This window comes from Homo sapiens, chromosome 11 (genome assembly GCF_000001405.40).
Source record: "Homo sapiens chromosome 11, GRCh38.p14 Primary Assembly".
In the NCBI taxonomy this organism is placed as follows: domain Eukaryota; kingdom Metazoa; phylum Chordata; class Mammalia; order Primates; family Hominidae; genus Homo; species Homo sapiens.
Window position 1 is genome coordinate 33,370,276 of NC_000011.10, and position 20,891 is coordinate 33,391,166.

The 20,891-nt window shown below is 45.6% G+C and overlaps 1 protein-coding gene across 9 annotated transcripts in view, besides 4 other annotated features; it reads left to right on the top strand.

The window, feature by feature from the left end:
• Positions 5,719 to 5,778: a silencer, noted in NCBI's record as "silent region_3235". NCBI's record gives its function as "represses an Ori minimal core promoter by ATAC-STARR-seq in GM12878 lymphoblastoid cells {active_cell/tissue: GM12878}" and the evidence as "EXISTENCE:reporter gene assay evidence [ECO:0000049][PMID:35858748]".
• Positions 5,809 to 6,048: a silencer, noted in NCBI's record as "silent region_3236". NCBI's record gives its function as "represses an Ori minimal core promoter by ATAC-STARR-seq in GM12878 lymphoblastoid cells {active_cell/tissue: GM12878}" and the evidence as "EXISTENCE:reporter gene assay evidence [ECO:0000049][PMID:35858748]".
• Positions 5,833 to 20,891, top strand: part of KIAA1549L (KIAA1549 like) — a 297,995-nt gene continuing 282,936 nt past the window's right edge. For all 9 annotated transcript variants that reach the window (XM_047426719.1, XM_005252848.4, NM_012194.3 and 6 more), the window contains exon 1: positions 5,833 to 6,614. In XM_047426719.1, coding sequence (XP_047282675.1) covers positions 6,377 to 6,614 — 238 coding nt within the window. In that variant the 5' untranslated portion in view covers positions 5,833 to 6,376. The remainder of the gene's footprint in view (positions 6,615 to 20,891) is intronic.
• Positions 6,189 to 6,288: a silencer, noted in NCBI's record as "silent region_3237". NCBI's record gives its function as "represses an Ori minimal core promoter by ATAC-STARR-seq in GM12878 lymphoblastoid cells {active_cell/tissue: GM12878}" and the evidence as "EXISTENCE:reporter gene assay evidence [ECO:0000049][PMID:35858748]".
• Positions 6,419 to 6,698: a silencer, noted in NCBI's record as "silent region_3238". NCBI's record gives its function as "represses an Ori minimal core promoter by ATAC-STARR-seq in GM12878 lymphoblastoid cells {active_cell/tissue: GM12878}" and the evidence as "EXISTENCE:reporter gene assay evidence [ECO:0000049][PMID:35858748]".

Below are 20,891 nucleotides of genomic sequence, written 5' to 3' on the forward strand. Positions count from 1 at the left end.
TTTAAAGTTTTCTCAAGGTTACTAGTTATTAGGTGATGGAGTTAGGACTTCAACTCAGGTTGTAAATCATTGAGATTTTCAATGACCAATCCTGGTTTCCACCCCACAGAGCCCAAGAAATAGTCTCAACACAGTGAGACAAGAAATTGAGGGCAAAGAGAGACAGTAAAAATGAGCTAGCCCCATACTGTCAAATGCTAGACCAGATCTCTGCTCTGCTATTGGATGAATCCCAAAAGCAACAGAAGTATTAGTGAGAGACAGATTGACCTTTGATCGTTAAAAAACAAACAAAAGACCCTGCCTCCTCCCACTGGAGGATTTATTTATTTATTTATTTGAGACGGAATCTCACTCTGCTGCCCAGGCTGGAGTGCAGTGGCATGATCTCGGCTCACTGCAACCTCTGCCTCCCGGGTTCAAGTGATTCTCCTGCTTCAGCCTCCTGAGTAGCTAGGATTGCAGGTGTGCACCACCATGCCTGGCTAATTTTTCTATTTTTATTAGAGATGGGGTTTCACCATGTTGGCCAGGGTGGTCTCAAACTCCTGACCTCAAATGATCCACCCGCCCAGGCCTCCCAAAGTGCTGGGATTACAGGCGTGAGCCACTGAGCCTGGCCCCCCTGGAGGATTTAGAGGATAATTAGCCAGAACCTGGAGGAGCTGAAATGTCATCAATGGATGTCAAGTTGAAGTCAACAAACACTGAGTAGCTAGGCTGCTGTGGGGGACACCCTGAGGACTGAGATCAGTCTCACTCACCCTGGAGTCTAGGGGCTGGTCCTAGTGGGTGCTGTTACCGTCTTGCTGGGCCCGATGTGCTGGGCCTTGGGGTGGGCCTGGGAAACTGTTTTTAGAAAAACAGGTTGAGATATAAGGGGGAGGGGAAAGCTAGTTGACCTGCGTTTCTGCAACAGCCTTCTTACAGTCGGCCTCCTCCTTATCTCACCCCTGTTGTACCCGTTCTACAAGGTGGCCAGAGTGATTTTCCTGGAACACACATTCACCACTCCTCTGCTTTAAAATTTGTCCCTAAGCTCCCTACTGCCCTCTGTCATTGTTAATTCAGCTGCATCTCTTTGCCCTTGCGGGCAGTTGCTGTCTGCGGGGAACCCATATGATAAGCATTTGTCTCAGGGCCAGGACAGTGCCAGGCAGGAAGGGCCCAGTAAACGACCCATCGTTGTTATATCCAGTGTTTTCTCAAGGGCACGGAAGCAAAGAAAACCATATTTAAATTTTTGTTTTGAATTTCTTCTGTCTCAATGTCTGCAATATACACCATGGCACCAGTCCCTTGCTTGCCTCCCTAACCTCCTCTCTCAGCAGTTTCCTCTGCAGAAGCCCACAGCATCCTTTCCCGCCCCCCTGACAGCATATACTGAACTGTGGCATAATTGAGTGTTTACTCATCTCCCTCACTTACTCTTTTTTTTTTTTTGAGATGGTGTCTCACTCTGTCGCCCAGGCTGGAGTACAGTGGTGCTATCTTGGCTGACTGCAAACTCTGCCTCCCAGGTTCAAGCGATTCTCCTGCCTCAGCCTCCTTAGTTGCTGGGATACAGGCGCCCACCATCATGCCTGGCTAATTTTTGTATTTTTAGTAGAGATGGGGTTTCACCATGTTGGCCAGGCTGGTCTCGAACTCCTGACCTCATGTGATCCACCCGACTCAGCCTCCCAAAATGCTGGGATTACAGGCGTGAGCTACCGCGCCCAGCCTCCCCCACTTATTCCTAAGTATGGAGTTCAGTGAGGGTGGGGACAAGGCCTTGCTTGCTGTGGGAATCCTAGAGTCTAGAACGGTCCTGGGTGCACAAAAGGAGTTCAGTGTAGACTTGGGCTTTGCTCCAGCAAGGAGTGTCAGCAACAGAGTTCTTGACTAGAGGAGAAATAGCTGCCTATTTTAAAAAGAATGAAAGCAGAGGCCTAGAGATTTCCCCTCTATGAATGGCAGAAATTTCTGTTGTGGGCCTGAAACAATTGCCCAAAGATTGTTCTTTCTTCCCAGCCTAACAAAATGCTTTGCACAAAACACACTGACTTTTGAAAGCTATGTAGCAATAAATTTACACACTGAGAAAGCCCCAAAGCCCTAGAAATAGACTAAAATTAATGAAAGAGTTTATGGTTTAAGAGGGTTGCAATTGTCATATAATAAGATTGGTTGAGTGTTTACTGTGTGTCAAGTATTCTTCTAAATGCTTGACATGTATCAATTCAATTCTCAAGACAATTCAATGAGGGAGTCACTCTTATCATTTCCAGTTTTATAGGTGAGAGATATAGAGTAATCTCTATATGATGTGCCCAAAGTTAAACAGCTAGTAAACGGTAAGGCCTGAATTTAAATCTGAGTAAAGTTTCAGAGTCTATACAGTCACCCACCAATCAATGACTCATCAGTCAAAGATCTCACCAAGCTTCCTGCTCCAGCAGAGAACCCTTCCGGAGTGGTTCCTCCTGGATAAGAATAAGGTACAAACTCCATGCCATGGCATCGCAGGCTCTCAACATCTGCCCGTAACTTGGCTCCCCTGCCTGGAGGCTGAATCTCCCTAAGTTCCCTCTGTGCTTCTCTCACCAGATACCTTATCTTTCCCTGCAAAATGCTGCAGACTTTCATGGCTTTCTATTGTGTCATTGGCTGTGCCTGGCAAACTCCGACTTTAAATGTTTCCTTCTTTTGCCTTTTCTCCTCCAGGCAGAAATAGCCACCCCTTGCTCACATTCCCATGGCGATGAGTGATCTGCACGTACCTCTATCGCATCCTCAGCACATTGCTCTGAAGTTATTGCTGCATGTATCTGTCCCCCTCATTAGACTGTAGGCTTCTTCTTCTTTTTTTTCTTTTCTTTTTTTTTTTTTTTTTTGAGACGGAGTCTTGCTCTGTAGCCCAGGCTAGAGTGCAGTGGTGTGAGCTCGGCTCACTGCAACCTCCGCCTTCTGGGTCCTGGTTCAAGCAATTCTCCTGCCTTAGGCTCCCGAGTGGCTGGGATCACAGGCATGCACCACCATGCCCAGCTAATTTTTGTATTTTCAGTAGAGACGGCGTTTCACTATGTTGGTCGGGCTGGTCTTGAACTCCTGACCTCGTGATCCACCCACCTCGGCCTCCCAAAGTGTTGGGATTACAGGCGTGAGCCACTGCACCTGGCTGACTGTAGGCTTCTTGAGGAAAGGGATGGTATCTCGTCTTGAGGTCAGTCTCATCAGGGAGACGAATTCATTGAAACACCAGTGCAACAACCAACACGTGAAAAGTAATTTATAATTTGTGTAAGTCTGGCAAATAATGGAGAAGGGAAAATCCCATTTACAATACAGAATTTACTTTCTCGAGATATGCATTTGCTATCTCCCAACCCCATGGCAGTTGCCCCTAAATCAATCTCTCTCAACTCGCATGGAGAAGCCAGCTGTGTTCAGGTCTTGCCTTTCTTGCTTTGCACACAGCGTCTCTCCTGCTGGATCTTTTATATCTCTTTAGGCCAGCAACATTCAGTCGCTTCCCGGGTGAATGCAGCCAGCCTGTCCAGCTTCCTCAGTTCCTGACTCACCATCAACACCACAATTGTCCAGGTGCAGAAAAGGGGTGGGTGGGGGAAGCTGTGGCTACTAAAGGGTTCGTGTTTTCCCCCATCACATCCACCTGTGTGTTCTCCGGAGCTCTTAACTCAGAGCCTGATACAGGATTGGTGCTCCTGAGAGTGACTTATCTTCCCCTCTCCCTCTCCTTCAGATGTGTCCAAGGCCTTTCACAACTTGGCCTCAGCATAAGAGTTCTGGGTCTCAAACAGGCAGGCCCACTGCTCCAAGACCAATCTTCCTGCCTCCTTCCCTGCCTCTGCTCCGCCCACTTCTCTCTCCAGGGGCTCCCTTTTCTGCAACACCTAAGCGAGTCTATACCCTGCCCTTGTTTCAGTTCTTCTTTGCCTGACATCCTCATTCCCCATCGCCTTGTCCGTGGGATCACCACCGGCTGCAGGGCCGTTCATCTTGTGATGCTGCCTGAACCATGACCATGGGCTGGCTTTCTCACAGTGTCTCCAACTAATTTAGTGAATTGCTTTATCTCTTCAACTAGACTGCATCTTTCCCTTCCTCCCTCCCTCCCTCTCTCTCTCCCTCTCTCTCTTTCTTTTGAAGGAGTCTCCCTCTGTTGCCCAGGCTGGAGTGCAGTGGTGCAATCTTGGCTCACTGCAACCTCTGCCTTCCAGGTTGAAGCAATTCTCCTGCCTCAGCCTCCCAAGTAGCTGGGATTACAGGCATGCACCACCACACCTGGCAAATTTTTGTATTTTTAGTAGAGACAGGGTTTCACCATGTTGGCCAGGCTGGTCTCAAACTCCTGACCTCAGGTGATTCGCCTGCCTTGGCCTCCTAAAGTGCTGGTATTACAGGCGTGAGCCACTGCGCCAGGCCAGACTGCAAGTTTCTTAACACAACCCAAAACAGCCCAACTAGTTTAATTAAAGAACAAAATTAAATCATAACCCCCAACAAGGCATTACTATATTTCAACAAATCTTAGACATATTATAAGAACACATCTGACTTCTGAAAAGTTAACATGTGAAAAGTATGTGTCTTAGATGAAATGTGGTGTTATTTCTATCCTGCAGATGCTCAATAACTAGAACCTAACACTTTTCCAGATCCCCTGGTTAAGTTGCTGTGCCCTAACACACCAGGCACGCTCTGCCCCGGGATGTTAGCCTTTTTGGTTCCCTGTATCTGGAATGCTCTTCGCGCATGGCTTGTTCTCACCTCCTTCAGATCTTGGCTCAAACGTCACCTTCTCAGCGAGGCCTTTCTTCACAATGTTTAACATTTGCAACACCCCCTCCCCACGTTTCATTCTTTTACACTGATTTTTCTTTACGGCATTTACCAGTCTAATATTCTATTACTTATTTGTTTATTGCGGGTGAACCCCCACTAGAATGTCAGCTCCAGGAGGGCAGGGATTTTGTTTATGGCTGTTGTCATTGGCACATCGCAGGCAGTCAGTAAGGATTGTTGAGTGAATAGCGTCTGAGCTTTACCGGGTCAAGGATGTGTGTGTTTCCCCGCTGCTTGTATCCTCAGTGCCTAACACAGATGCTGGCAAACAGCGGGCCCGTAATAGATACTCAGTGACTGGGGATGGATGAGGCGCCTATGAGCCAGGTCACTTGCTAAGGCCATCAAGGCTAGCAAGGGCGAAGAGCAGGGGACCAACTCAGGTGACGCCTGGGCCTTTTGTCCCTCTGAGCAGGAGCTGCCTGACTCTCCTGTTTGGGGGTGTAGACTTTTTTGGAAAAACTTCCCCCAGTCTTCCCAGTGCGCAGTGTAATGCTTTGCACGTAGTGTGGCTGCAACAAATATTTATAATGTGTTTTAATCCAGCGTGTTATTGCAACTAGCCCACAGCCGCTTGAGCTCCTCAGGGGTAAACTGGCATGCAGCTGTCCGTTGAACCCTCGGAGAAGTAGTGAACAAACAGCACAAAGCGCGCCCGCCCTTCTACAAAGAGCTTTTCCAAAATCCAGGCGGAAGAGCTTTCCTGCCGCTTGGGCACGTTGACCATGACCCCCCTCCCCGGCCAGACGACCTCTCTCCCGCCAACCTTCCCTTCTCTAGATGGGGGACAGGAGGGGAGGGAAGCCCTCCCCTTAAGGACCTCCGCTGCGCGGGAGCCGCCGGGAGGGGTCCCCCTCCTGGGTCTCGAGCCCGGCCGGGCGCGCGGGAGCGGGGAGCGCGCGGTGGCTCCGCGCGGGGCTGCGCGCGCGCGCCGGCCTCGCCTCCTCGCCTCCTCGCCCGTTCCGGAGGCTACGTGCTTTCTTTGTCAATGAGGCGCCGCTCTGAGCTGCGGTAGCACTCGCGGCCCGGGAACCCGAGCCGGAGCCGGGGCTGGAACCCGAAGCCCAGCGAGGAGCGAGGAGCGAGGAGCCAGGACAGCGGGGCGCCGAGGCTGCAGCGGCGGCGGGAGGGAGGGACCCGAGCGCGCCCCGCGGCCGCCACCCCCGTTCCCGGCAGCCTCGCCCCCTAGTTCTGCAGGAGCCGGCCCGGGGGAGGGGGCCCCGGGCGGCGCCCGTCCCACCCTCGCCGCCCCAATCGCGCCGGCGCGCGGCGACAGGCACCGTGGGAACCCCGGCCCGCACCCGCCGCGGCTCCATGCGGGCCCGGCCCCTGCGCGGGTGAAGCCGCGGCTCCCTGGAGCCCGCCCCGGGCGCGGCAGGACGAGCGAGCCAGTCGCGCCGCTCGGCGCCCCCTCCCTCCGGCGCCCGGGCCGTGGCCGGCGATGCCCGGTGAGGACCGGGGCGCCGAGGGCTGGGCTCCCCGGCGCGGTGCAGAGCGAGGCAGCGGCCTGGATGTGTGAAGCGTCCCCATGGCTCCGCAGGAGGCCAAGCCTCAGGGCTCAAGGGAAGCTGGGCCCGCGACGCGGGGGCGCGGGGGCCGGCCCGTGGCGCGTGGGCTTGGTCGGGCTGCCTGGGGAGCCGCGCGCTGCACGGGTGTGAGGGGCCCCGGGGCCGGCGCGTCCCACGATGCGCCCCCGCGGCCACCGACGCTGCTGCTGGGACTTCTGCTGCTGGCGGCCCTCCTGGAGCACGGCCAGGCCGACCCGGGTAAGCGCTCGGCGGCGGGGCGTCCGCGGAGGTTTCTGGAGGAGCGGGGCGGCGGGACGGGACCCACACCTGCCCAGGTGGCGGTGGAGAGGTATTGGCAACACCGGCCCTTTACTGCTGCAACAGTAGGCGAACTGTCAGAAATCTGTCTTTCGGGAAGGCACTTTGGGCGGGGAAGAAAAAAAAAGGAGCAATCGCCTCTTCTTTTTGGACAAGTTGTAGAACCTTCCTAGTGGTCCCGCAGGCACGCTTTATTTAGAGAAAGATGTGTGTTTAGGACACCTTAAACGGGAAATGTATCATTAGAACACGTTTCAGGGTGGCAAAGTCCCTGGTATTTTGGGCTCTCTGTTGAGTGTCCACTTTGTCTTAACTGCATGAAATGGCTAGAGAGTTTTAGGCAATCCGCGTGTCGGCTTCCCAAATATCAACACAGTTTCTCCTGTGTTGATAGCGGAACCCTTTTCTTTTGGGAAGGAGGTCTCTCCAATAATTGCTTGCACCTTGCAAAGGGATGCAGGCGCTCATTAAGTATATAATCCACTGTTTGCAGGTTAGTTAAAAATAGTCATGCTTGGCTTGTAGACTTCCAGCAATCCCCAGGAAATAGATTTCTGTAATTCCTTGGACAATTTTGAGAAATCTGTTGTAAGTATTCTAGGTGGGGGTGGATTTTTCTGCTAAGTGTGCTTCAAAACTTAAGCTGTGCAGTAAGCAGTTGTCCTGGAAATAATAATGATTACTGCCTGCACTTGGAAAGGGCAGGCTTTTGTGTTTCTGACGAAATTCTGAGCTCTTGATACACTGCCTTATCAAGGAATATATTTCTCACTTCAGATAATGTGTTCCTGTAGTTTTGCATTTTTTAGCAAGGACTAATGACTTCTTCTTTCTCAGAGTACCCCCTCCCCCAAATTAGATTAAAATTCCTAATTGTAAAGGGGCTGACATTGTTTTAGATAAGAGAGTTTTAGGTTAAAAATATTTCTCGTCTTCAGCAGCTTAATTCAGAGCCCATTTTCCTTCGATTCACTTAAAGAGTCACTGACAGGTGGTGCTTGTGCTTGCGAGTTACTGTCAGATAATGTTCTATTGCGATTATAGTGGTTACAAAGTTCAGGAATCTTTGGATGTGTGCCTCAGACTTGAGAAAAACCTCTGACGAATTTTAGCCCCCGATTTTTATGCCTGTAGCAGTTTTTAGTGATGTGTATTTGGCATAATTGTTAAAAGATAAGGCCTGAGAAAGACCCACGTAAATACCTTGGTATTCATTGGCTCAGAAACATACATCCTGTTTTTGATTAAAGGATATCAAGTCCTTGGTCGTTTTTGTGAACTGCTTATGAGATGTTTGCTTTGGGATGATGTTCATTTGTTCAGCCATCTGTAATATGTGAAACTGGCTTTCATGTGTTGTTCTTGTTCAGCCTGATGTTGGGTGATTTCCTCGGATCAGTTTTGAATTTCTGATTTCCCTTCTGACCTTTGTACCTTGAGCCTTCTGAACCTCCCTGACTTTCCTTGGCTCCTCTTTCAGACCGCCAGAGCCTGATTTAGAGGACTTCTCATCCACATTGTTTGGGTTTAGCCCTGGTGTCCTCTTTCTTTTTCCTTTCAGTGTGGTGGTCATGGGGATACGGGGCTGGGAAAGATGCTTTGATTACAATGATGGTAAAAATAATTAAAAGTTGATGTTCCTCCCCAGAGTCCTCTCCGTCTTTCTCCATCTCATCCGAGCGACTCGTTGCTTCCTCTATGCTTTTTGGATGCACTTTCTGCTGTCCCCCTTTATGACCAGCTTCCCGTGGTCCAGCCCACCTGCGGATTCACAGTCCACCTCTGAGCTCCATGGTTTTCTGTGGGTTTGCCACTGATTCAATTCCATGACTCAGTGGAAGGGTTAAACACTGGGTTCCCTGTGTGTAACTCTTACCTCCTATCTGCTCTCATTTGTTCTCTGATTTCCACTGGAGGCAGTTTCACCCCAGGGTAGGTGAGTCCTGGGCCTAATGCAGGGCATCCTAAGGGGTTTGTGGGAAGAAGTGGTGTCAAGAGGGAGGCAGGAGAATGAATGACAATTTCTGGGGCCTTTGACTTTCTGCAAACAACCTAGTTTGGAACTTTTTCTGAGGAGTCGCTGCGGTTTGGTGTTGCCACTCATTGTAGAATGCGTCCGACCCTGAGATGTCTGAGATCTTACTCAAAGTGCTGGCTTGCTACAGTCCCATCATTTACATGGCTGCTCTCCCTTGTTGTTTAAGGAAGGCTAAGCCAGACATTTGTCTTGGTTGAAAAATGGGCAAACATAGATTTGTTTCTGGAAAATTCTGTAGCAATTGTTCAGCACCTTCCTGTCCTGGAGACTCTGCAGTGTGTTCCCAGTCTACTTCCACCCACCCCACCCCAGCCTCTTTTGCTTGAATATTCTAAAGGAATCAGAGTTCCTTCTCTTTTCCACATAAAGAAAAGGCTGTTGTCATCTTCACTGCCCTCCATTAGACTCCTAACTTCCATCTCCGTCTTCCGTCTTGCTTCCAGTCAGTAAGCTCTGTTTTGGATGCGGGAGGTTGGTGTGGGAAGGAAGTTTCTTTGTAGTACTGAGTACTGACACCCTGTATTCTCTTTGGCCATCCAGGCTCCAGGCAAAATGGTAGAGCTCAAATTTGACTTCACTCTCTTTTTAACTACTGAGCTTCCATTCAGTTCATGTCAGTAAACATTTACTGTGTGCCTGTTATGTACAGGGATAGTGCTCATCTGTTCACGGGCAGCTACTCAATGTGACTGTCTGGGTCTCAGTTCTCTCATCTGGAAAATGGGGACAACAATAGTTCCAATCTCATTGGGTTCTTGTGAGGATTACACGAGTTAAAGCATCTAAAGTGTTTCAAACAGTGCTTGGTATACAGTAGGCGCTCAGTGAATGCTACCTGCTGTTTTAAAATGGCAGAAACGATGGAATGTTTACTCTGTCTAGGTGCTGTGCAGGGGCAGGGGATACAGAGGTGAATAAGGACGAGGCAGTTTGTAGAAGCTCCTCAAGAAGAGGGCGATCAAGGCCCTTGCCCTCTGTGCTGTGTGATCAGAGCTAATGAGGGAATAGTTAATTCTGGGGGCATGGGGGCCTTGAAGGATGAGGTGGGGTTGGCAGTGTTGATGGTGGCATTTCTGGCAGAGGAAAAGTAAAGGGTTCTTTGTGGTCAGAGCACAGGGCGCTGTGGGGAGGAGTCCTCAGCACCCTGTCTGCATGCTGGGGCTTCCCCAGGCCCTCCTCTGCCGGCTGAAGGGCTCTGAGCGGCTGTGTGCTTCTCCCTCCAACTTATTAGTTCCTGATTTACCTTCATTTGCCTATTGCCTGTTACAATACCCAGCACAGAACAGGAATTTCTTAAATTTTCAGTCTCTACACTCCTGTTCCTCCTGCTTGGCTGTTTCTGTTAGATTTTAGAATACTGTCTCATTTAAATAATTCACAGTAAGTTGTGAATGACTGCTTTATTAAGGGAATATATTTGCATGTTGATAGAAGGTTTTGCTGATACCAAAGAATTTCTTCTGATTACGTGATCAATTTTAGCATCAGTGACGTATGGTGATAAGAAGAATGTATATTCTGTTGTTTTGGGGTGGAGAGTTCTGTGGATATCTATCAGGTCCGCTTGATCCAGAGCTGAGTTCAGGTCCTGAATACTTCTGTTAATTTTCTGTCTTGATGATCTAATATCGTCAGTGGGGTGTTAAAGTCCCCCACTATTATTGTGTGTGAGTCTAAGTCTCTTTGCAGGTCTCAAAGAACTTTGTAGGTCTCTAAGAATTTTATGAATCTGGGTACCACTGCATTGGGCGCATATGTATTTAGAATACTTAGCTCTTCTTGATGAATCGATACCAAAGAATTTCTAATTTAGAACAGTGTGTGGGGAGATAGTTTTGACCTGGGACGTCCTCCTTGCCGCTCCCCAAACTCTTTGTACACATCATCAACTTGCAGTCGAGTCTAGAACAGGTTCAAGCTCATTTGTTCATTCATTCATTCCTTTATTCAGTATGTTTTGAATGCCTCAATATTCTGAGGTAACAGTAATGAACAAAAACAAGGCCTGTTCTCACAGGGATTAGAGAGAATGGGGCTTGTTTTTGTTCGTTACCGTTACCTCAGAATATTGAGCCCAGTGCCGTCCAAACTTGACTGTGCTTACCAGTCACGTGAAGATCTCGTTGAAATGTGGATTCTGATTCAGCAGGTCTGAAATAAGGCTTGAGAGTCTGCATTGTTAACAAGCACTTGAGTAATACTGACGATGCAAGTTTGTGGACCCCATTTTGAGAAATAAGTGGCAATAAGCAAATACCTGTAGGTCGGGTGATGGTAAGCTCTATGGAGCAAAATAAATCAGGGTAGGGGATAGTGCCTTCACACATGAACTTGTCTAGATGGAGTGGTGAGAGGAGGCCTTTCTGAGGAGATGGCCTTGAGTAGACCTGACAGTGAAAATCTGGGGGAAGAATATTCCAGGCTGTGGGAAAAGCAAGTGCAAAGGCCTTGAGCAGAGATTGTGCTTGCGTTGTTTGAGGAAGAGCAGGAATGCCAATGTAGAATTGAATGAGCAAAGGGAGAGTAGTGAGAAATGATGTTGAAGAGAGAGATGGGGCTGGATCCTATAGGACTTACTGGCCATGGTGATGACTGGGTACTTTAGTTGGAGTGAGATGGTCAGCCATTGGAGCATCCAAACAAGAGGTGACATAATCTGACTTAAGTTTTAAAAGAATCACCTTGGTTGTTGTGGAGAGAAAAGTCTGTAAGGTCAAGTATGGAAGCCAGGAGATCAGGAAGGAAGCTGTTATTGAAATCAATCTGCAGATGAAGATGGCTTAGAGAGGGTGGTAGCAGAAGTGGTTAGATTTTGGATGTCTCTTGAAGATAGAGCTAGTAGAATTATCTGGTGGATTAAAAGGGTAGGAGAGAAAGAGAGGAATTGATACGGCTCCAAGGTCTTTGGCTCAAGCAACTGGGAAGATGAAGTTGCCATTAATTGAGACAGCAGTTCAGGTTTGGGGTAAGAAAATAAGAGTTCATTTGGGGGTATGTAAAGCTTGAAATGTTTATTCAAGTGGAGATGTCAGGTTGCCAGTTGAACAAAGTAGTCTGGAATTCTAGGGCGATAACAGGTCCTAAGGCATACATTTTGGAGCCATCAGCATGGAAGCGAATAAGAAACCTAGAAAGTGAGTATGGAGAAGAGAGAGGGAGATCTGAGCAAGGAGCCTGGGATTACTGCAGCATTCAGGGGTTCAGGGTGAAGGGGACCAGCAAGAGATAGAGAAGAAAACAATGAGGCAGTAGGAAGAGAAGAAAGTGTATATGGTGTCCTGGGTGCTAAGAGAAGAAAGCAATCAAGGAGGAGGGCGTGATTGGCTTGGACAGATGCTGCTGAGAGTGGAGTTAGATAGGCACTAGCAATGCACGTTGAGTTTGGAGGTGTGAAGGTGGTTAGTGGCTCTGAGAGTGATGGGGATAAAACTCTAACTGCAGATGGTTCAAGAGAGAAAGGAAAAAGAGGCATTGGAGGCAACACATAAGACAATTCTTATGAAGTTTTTTCTCTAGAGAAAAGCAGAGTCATGGGGGAGGTGGGCCAAGGGAGGGTTAAGATGAGGTCTAATTATATGTGTTCACACTTTCTCATTTTTAAACATGAAAGACATATGACCAGAGTGTTTGATTTGGTGTTTTTCCCCCAAATGTAGATGGCCCAATAAAATATATTTTGACTTTTTACTCTGAGTATGATTAGTACTTCAAAGATTCTTACAAGATGTCCCAAATCTTGCCTCCCATCTCATCCTTCCCATCCCCACAAAGTAAAGAAAATGATCTTGGGGCCAGAGCACAGGGCACTGTAGGGAGGAGTCCCTGGCACCCTCTCCCTGCCCTGGGACTTCCCCTGGCCCTCCTCGGGGGACTGAAGGGCTCTGAGGGGCTGGGATACTGCAGCATTTGGGGGTTCAGGGAGAAGGGGGACAAGCAAGAGACAGAGAAAATAAAATAAGGAGGTAGGAAAAGAAGAAAGTGTATTAAATATTAAAAGTACAGTGTTACTTGTACTTGGAAAAGTACAGTGTTACTGTACTTTTAACACTGGCATAAAATAAGTTAGATATCCCTTTGCTGACCCACATCCTTCCGTCAAACTGACCACCACCATGGAAACTTCAGGATCCTGAAATTCTGATGACGACCAGAGAATCTCTCAGAAGCTTACTTAGCTCAAGTCTCAAATTACTGGAATATGATCTGAGAATATTCAAAATGAATGTGCACACTTCCCTTTTTATTTTCATTAACCTTCAAGCCCATATTGTGGTTTTCTTTCTTTCTTTTTTTTTTTTTAAAGACAAACAAAAACTCCACTCTTCCCCAGACAAAAATGAATAGTTGGAATGACCTTAAAACATTTTCGTTGCTTGACAACATATTAGAGGGGATTTCTAAACACACAGAGGGACACATTATTCTGGGTCACGGGATGGCAGCCATGGATGGTGACTCTCTTTGGGGACTTCAGGACCAAAGGAGCAGTTAGCAATCTGGGTGTTGTAAATGTCAGTTTTAGGAGCTGGCAGGAAGGTGGCAACTGAGTCATATTAATTCAGCAGTGTTTATCAAGCACCCAGCATGTGTCAGGCCCTCCACTAGATGCTGGGGGTATAGTGAGAACAGGCTAGGCCTGGACCCTGCTCTCAGGCAGCCCGTGGTCCAGGACAAGAAACTCTCACTCGGGCAGGTGTGGTGGCAGGTGGGTAAAGTACTTCCATGAATTGGGTCAGGTTGGGGGATGTGGCAGGACAGCAAGTGCCTGCGTTGCTCAAAGAGGCAGCTACTGCTTAGTGGCAGCCTGCATGGGACCGAGGCTCAGGGTGCCATAGTTCTGACTTCTCAAGAAAAGGCAGATCTTTATTTAGAATCTTTTTGTTTTCAAATATCACCAATTAGTTCAGATTTCTAAAATGTCATGCAGTACAAAGAGAACACACTCATCAGCCACCATCTTTTTCTTCTTTTTTTAAAGTCAAGTTTATTAAGGTGTAATTTACATACAGTGAAATTCATCCTTTGTAGGTGTGCTGCATGATGAGTTTTGACAAAAGTGTGCAATCATGCGTCCACCACCACAATCCAGATACAGAACATTTCTGTCACCTCAAAAAGTTCCCTCCTGCCCCTTGCAGTTAATCCACTCCCCCAACACACCCAGTCCCTGGAAACTACCCATGTATTTTCCATCCCTGTAGTTTTGCCTTTCCCAGAAGGTCGTAGAAATGGAATTGTACTGTATATAACATTTTGCATTTGGCTTCTTTCACTTAGCATAATGCTCTTGAAAATCATCTGTGTCATTGCATCGATCACTAATTCTGTTCTTTTTATTGCAGAATAGTATTCCATTGCACCACAGTTTGCTTATGCATTCAGCAGTTGATGGACATGTGGGTTGTTTCCAGTTTATGACATGGAAGTCTTTCTGTGGGCAGTTTTCATTCCTTTTGGGTAAATGCCTAGGGGTGGGATTGCTTGGTCATGTGTTAGGGACGTATTTCATCTTATAAGAAACTGCCAAACTGTTTTTCAAAGTAGCTGTACAGTTTTGCATTCTCATTAGCAATGTATGAGAGTTCTAGTTGTTCCTCTGTATCCTCACTGGCATTTGGTATTGTCAGCTTTGTTTTTCCTTTTAATTTAGATGTCAGCCATTCTAATAGCTGTTTAGTGGTATCTCATTCATTTTAGTTTACATTTCTCTAATCACTAATAATTTTATTGTTGCATATCTTTTCATGTTCTTACTTGCCATCTATATCTCTACTTTGAAGTCTGTTAAGTTATTTTGCCCATTTAAAAATTGGATTGTTTTCTTTTTACTGAGTTTTGAGCTTTTCTTTATATAGTCTGGATACAAGTCTTTTTATCAGATAGGTGTTTTGCAACTGTGTTCTCCCGGTCTGTGGCTTGTCTTTTCATTTTATTAACAGCGTTTTTTTTGTTTTTTGTTTTTTTTTTTTAAAAGGAGAGAAGTTTTAAATTTAGATTAACTCTATCAACTTTTCAATTTAAGATTTGTGCTTTTTGTGTCCTAGCATAGAAATTGCCTAATGTGTGCCAAGGTCACAAATATCTATGATTTCTTCTAGAAGTTTTGTATTTTTATTTTTACTTTTAGGTCTGTGATCCATTTCATGTTTGTGTATGGTGCAAAGTAAGAATCAAGGTTAATTTTTTTATATGGATATTTAATTGTTCTAGCACCACTTATTGAAAAGACTATCCTTGGTCCATTGACTTATCTTGGCACCATATATGTCTGGGTTTATTTCTAGTCTGTTCTATTGTACTTCTCTCCATATGCCAGTACAACACTGTCTTGATTTCTCTAGTTCAGGGTTTCTTAACGTCAGCACTATTAACATTTTGGGTTCAACGGTTCTTTGTTGTGGTTGCCTGTCCTGTGCATTAGAAGTTTAGCAATATTTCTGACTGCCTGGTAGATGTCAGTAACTCCCCTCACTCTTAGTTGTGACAACCAAAAATGTTTCCAGACATTGCTAAATGTCCCCCTAGGGAGTAAAATTGACCGTGATTGAGTTTCACTGCTTTAGTTCTGTAGTAAGTCTTGAAGTCAGATAGTGTGAGTATTCTTTATTCTTTTAAAAAATCTTTTTGGCTATTCTAGGTCTTATGCTTTCTATACAGATTTTAGTATCTTCTTGTTAATTTCTATTTAAAAAGCCTGCTGGATTTTTGGTTGGAATTTCTTTGAATCTAGACCATTTAGAGATCTCTATCTTAACAGTGTTTTTTTTTTTAATCCGTGAACATATCTCTCTCCATTTACTTAGGTATTCTTTCTTTTCTCTCATCAATGTTTTATAGTTTTCCACATACAAATTTGTACATACATTTTTCATGTTTTTCAGTGCTTTGGCATATAGTAATAGAAAAATTTCTTTGTTAGTGTATGGAAATATAATTTTAAAAACCTTATATCATATGACCCTCCTAAACTCATTTTAGTTCTAGTAGCTTTTTATAGAATCTTTGAGATTTTTCTAAATAGGAAATAATGTTATCTGTGAATAAAGACACTTTTCATTCTTTCAAATCTGTAAGGCTTTTATTTATTTTTCTTGCCTTATTGCACTGGCTAGAACTTCTAGTACTTTGCTGAATAGAAATAGGGAGAGTGGACATCCTTGCCTTGATCCTGGCATTGGAGGGAAATATCAGTCTTTCTCTAGAGTATGATGTTGGCTATAGTTTTGATTTTGTTTCACAGAGGCCCTTTATCAGGCTGAGGAAATTCCCTTCTCTAGCAAATTTGCTGTGAATTTTTATCATGACTGGTTATCAGATTTTGGCAAATGCTTTCTCTTTGTCTATTGAGATGATCACAGGGTTTATCTTTAGTTTGTAAAAAGACAACTTTTTACAAACTAAAGAAATTCCTGGCCAGATGTGGTGGCTCATGCCTGTAATCCCAGCACTTTGGGAGGCCAAGGCAGGAGGATCACCTAATGTCAGAAGTTCGAAACCAGCCTGGCCAACATGGTGAAACCCTGTCTCTACTAAAAACACAAAAAAATTAGCTGGGTATGGTGGTGGGTGCCTGTAATCCCAGCCACTCAGGAGGCTGAGGCAGGAGAATCGCTTGCACCTGGGAGGCAGAGGTTGCAGTGAGCTGAGATCATGCCACTGCACTCCAGCCTGGGTGACAAGAGCAAGACTCCATCTCAAAAGAAATTTCTAACAACGGCCAGGCCATTGTTAGGAATTTTTAGTTTCATGTTCATGAGGGGTATTGGTCTGTAGTTTTGTTTTGCTAAAAGGTGTCTGGTTTTGTTAGAAGGGTAGTGCTGGTCTATAAAATAATAGGGGCCAGATGCGGTGGCTCAATCCTGTAATCCCAACACTTTGGGAGCCCAAGGAGGGTGGATCACTTGAGGTCAGGAGTTCGAGACCATCCTGGTTAATGTGATGAAACCCCGTCTCTACTAAAAATACAAAAATTAGCCAGGTATGGTGGTGCACACCTATAGTCCCAGCTACTTGGGAGGCTGAAGCATGAGAATTGTTGGAACCCAGGAGGTGGAGGTTGCAGTGAGTCGGGATTGTGCCACTGCACTCCAGCCTGGGTGACATAGCAAGACTCTGTCTCAAAAATAAAAGATAAATAAAATAAAATAAAATGAGAGAGAAGTATTCCCACTTCTGCTTTATGGACGTGTTTGTGCAGAACAATTTCTCTTTTAAGGCCCGTGAGCTTACAGATGATATTGAAGATCCCTCAAGGATTTCTTTAGTAAAATAAAAAGTATCAGGTACCTCTAGTTCATTTTCTCATTCTCTCTCTCTTTATTTTATTTTATTTTTTTGAGATGGAGTCTGATTCTGTTGTCCAGGCTGGAGTGCAGTGGCACAGTCTCGGCTCACTGCAATCTCCACGTCCCAGGTTCAAGCAATTCTCCTGCCTCAGCCTCCCAAGTAGCTGGGACTACAGGCACGCACCACTGCACCTGGCTAATTTTTGTATTTTTAGTAGAGATGGGGTTTCACCATGTTGGCCAGTCTGGTCTCGAACTCCTAACCTCAAGTAATCTGCCAGTCTCGGCCTCCCAAAGTGCTGGGATTATAGGCATGAACTATCATTCCTGGCCCATTTTCTCATTCTGAAAGCTACCAGCAGACACTACTTTGGTTTAAGGTCTAGGGAAAACAGCCTGGGTGAGGGAAAATTGCATTGGTTGCATTCAGGAGACTGAGGTCACCCCTGGCTGTTACCAAATCATTTCACTTTTCAGGGCTTTCGTTTTCTCATCTGTGGATAACAGCCTCAAGATCTTCCCTTCTTCCCCCATCCCCCGTCTGTGTCTTTACAAGCCATAAGCAGATGTTTTGGTGGAGTTCTACCATCTGCATTTCCTGCTTCTTCCTACATTAGCAGCCAAGCCCAGCCAACGATTTTCATTCTGAAAAGGGAAGAGTTTTCCCACAGTTTGCTGTCATAGTTCCAGTGTGAGGCCCAGATAAATATAGGCCTATCTTCAATCTTCATTGGATTTTAAAAAATTATGAAAGTAATATATATTTTATTAAATTCAAGCAATACTCAGGTAGATGCAGTAAAATGCAAAAGGCCCTCTTTGCCTTGTGTATTAGTCCACTCTCACGCTACTATAAAGAACTGCCCGAGACTGAGTAATTTAGAAAGGGAAGAAGTTTAGTTGACTCACAGTTCCGCATGGCTGGGGAGGCCTCAGGAAAGTTACAATCATGGCAGAAGGGGAAACAAACACATTCTTCTTCATATGATGGCAGGAAAGAGAAGTGCCGAGTGAAGTGGGGAGAATAAAACCATCAGATCTTGTGAGAACTCACTATCAGAAGAATAGCGTAGGGGTAACTGCCCCCATGATTCAGTTACCTCCTACTGAGTCCCTTCCACAATGCATGGGGATTATGGGAACTACAATTCAAGGTGTGATTTGGGTGGAGACACAGCCAAACCATATCACCTTGCTATTCTCTAGAGTCATGCTGTCAGTCAAGTGTGATGGATCCTTCCAGACCTCTTCATACAAATATTTATATCCATAGACGTAGCCTCAACTTAATTTTTTTTTAAGATATAAAAGGTATAATATTCAGCAACTTGCTTTTCCCGTTAACACTATATCATGACCCTCTTTCCATGCTAACTAAATTGTGTCATGAGAGAACTTGAACTTCTGTTAGAAACAGGGAAAGACCTTTTATTATAAAAGAGAATAAATAGCTTTAACAACACAGGTCAGATTCAAACCTAGAGTTAAAATATCTCCTTAGACGGTTCTGCCCATTTTCCTTTACTCCCTGGCTTCCTTCTCTAGACGATACTTCTGCAGACATTTAAGAAAAATCATGGGCCCTTTTAAACACCACATAGAATGGGGATAAATTCATGTTATAACCAATCCTAGATATAAATAAGGCCAAGTAGCTTCCTCAACATAGGCCAAGGTCGCTGCTGCACCTGCCTCCTGTTCACTCAGACGTGGCTTTGCCCAAGTGTCCTAACCACAAGAGGTGAATTCGATTTAGATTGAGATTTATATATGTTAAATCTATTCTTAGCTAGAAATAAAATCTCCTGACGTCAGACACACAAAATGGTTTTGGTATTTATGCAGTTCAAGTAAATGGGGAAGCCTAGAATACTTCTAACTTCAGTCTTTCCACATGAAATATGGAATGAAGTATCTAGAATGAAACTGGGACTCCCAGACCTGTCTGCCTACCTCTGTCCCTAGTAATGAATGCCGTTCCCCTGTCACTTGCCTTTTTATTTACCAGGTGTCAACAGCAAACCCAAGAAGGCTGAAGAAAAATGGGAAGTGTGAGAAGAAAATGTGTTGAAATTGACAGTGTGGCTTATAAGTTCTTGTTGAAAAGGGATGAATAAAAATATCTCTAGATTTGTATCCTTCATTGTCCGTTAAGAAGTCTTTGTTTTGAAAAGAATGGGAGGATCAGTCTTTGGAGCATTATTTTGAACATAATTAAGCTGGGTGAAAGTGTATTAAAAAATCAGCATCCTAGAACTGTCTTTGGCAGTTTCCTGTTATTATCTTATTAATACTGGAGATGAACGTATGAATCAAGCTGGTGAACCCTACGGAAACTGAACCTTTTTTTCCAGTTGGATGGGGAATATTTCTCTAGTCTCTAGTCCAGCAATAAACACATTTTAAACAAGTGTTTTCCATTCTTGTGACCAATGTAATATCTTTTCTTTTCCCTGCAGAGACAACAGTCTCCAGAGTTTGGTACAACAGTTCACGGTTGTCGAAGCTTTCAGTTTCTTTTCCTATTTGAATCTCACACTACTCTAAGAGAGGGTTGAGAAAGTGATTTGCTAAAGGTCACACATTGGTCCAGGGATTTGCACATTATTCTGTGATTCAGGGGACAGATCACCTAGCTACACAACTAAAACTAGCTCCAGTATGGGGCCTCAGGCCATGGGGGAATCCCAGGTGACATATTCGTAATAGGAATGAAATATAACCAGGCCACGTGGATGCTATAATTAATTGATAGAAATAACAGCTAATACTTTTGAGCATTTACTGTTTGTATCAGTTCATTTGATTCTCATACCAACCCTATGAAGTAGGTTCTGCAATTATCCCCATGTTTCAGAAGAGAGAACTGAGGCACAGAATAACTTAACAGTAACTGGTTCAGTGTCTCCCAGTTAACTGGCAGAGTAGAGATTGGAACCCAGGCAGTTCGATTCCAGAGCCCACACTCTGCTTCATGATATTGCCCTCCAGGATATTAAGAGGCTAAGGTTACTGGCTGTGCATCTCCTGGGCCCAGTGCCTCTTCTTCCTATGGCCCAGTTCATCCTTCTGCCTCTTTCTGGAGACTGGCTTTTTCTGCTTCCCCATAGCTTCTTGGTTCCCCTGACAATAAACCTTGCACGGGGCTTTTCACTTGCTGTGGTGCTCACTGCAGCCAGAGTGGGCAAGCCTCTTTAGTTTAAACGCCCACCATCAAGACTCTGCCCCAGTTCCACATTCCCATGAGGGAGAATCAAGCTGCTGCAATCTGGCCAATGGAATTAGGGAAACTACCTCTCATCCATTCAGCAGAGGCCAGAGGAGAAGGGGCACATGGTATAAAAATGCCTTCTTAGCCTGATCCCCCTTTCACCATGGCCTTGGTAGAGGTCAGTTTTAAATGTCAGTTTGGAGGGCAAACTTCTGAACATTTGTCTCCTCCTTCGTAGCAGTAAAAGACAACTTCACATGTTGGTAAGCTTGTTCTATGGAAGATAACAATGACAGGTGGCCTGCTTGATAGTGTTGGCCAATTTTCCTTGTATAAATACTCCCACCATGGCTGATTTCAAGCTACTAACATGATAATGGAGTTGGGAAGTGATGCCTCAACTGGCTCAGCTCTGATGTGACCTGGCCCTGGCACACCAATGCTCCTATCCATATATGGGCTAGAGGAAGGGAAGCTTCCACAGTAGGTGCACGATGTCTCCAAGGACTTTGAAACCTAGGCTTCACAGGCCAGTCAACTAGTTGCATTTGTAATTATGTAAAAGGGAATAAGATTTCAAGGTAGAGAGGATGGGAGTCAGATTTGCTGCGTGGTCTAAAACAGCTTCAAATACTGTGTATAGTCCCAATGGTACAACCTAGTAGGCACTCAGCGATGCTTTA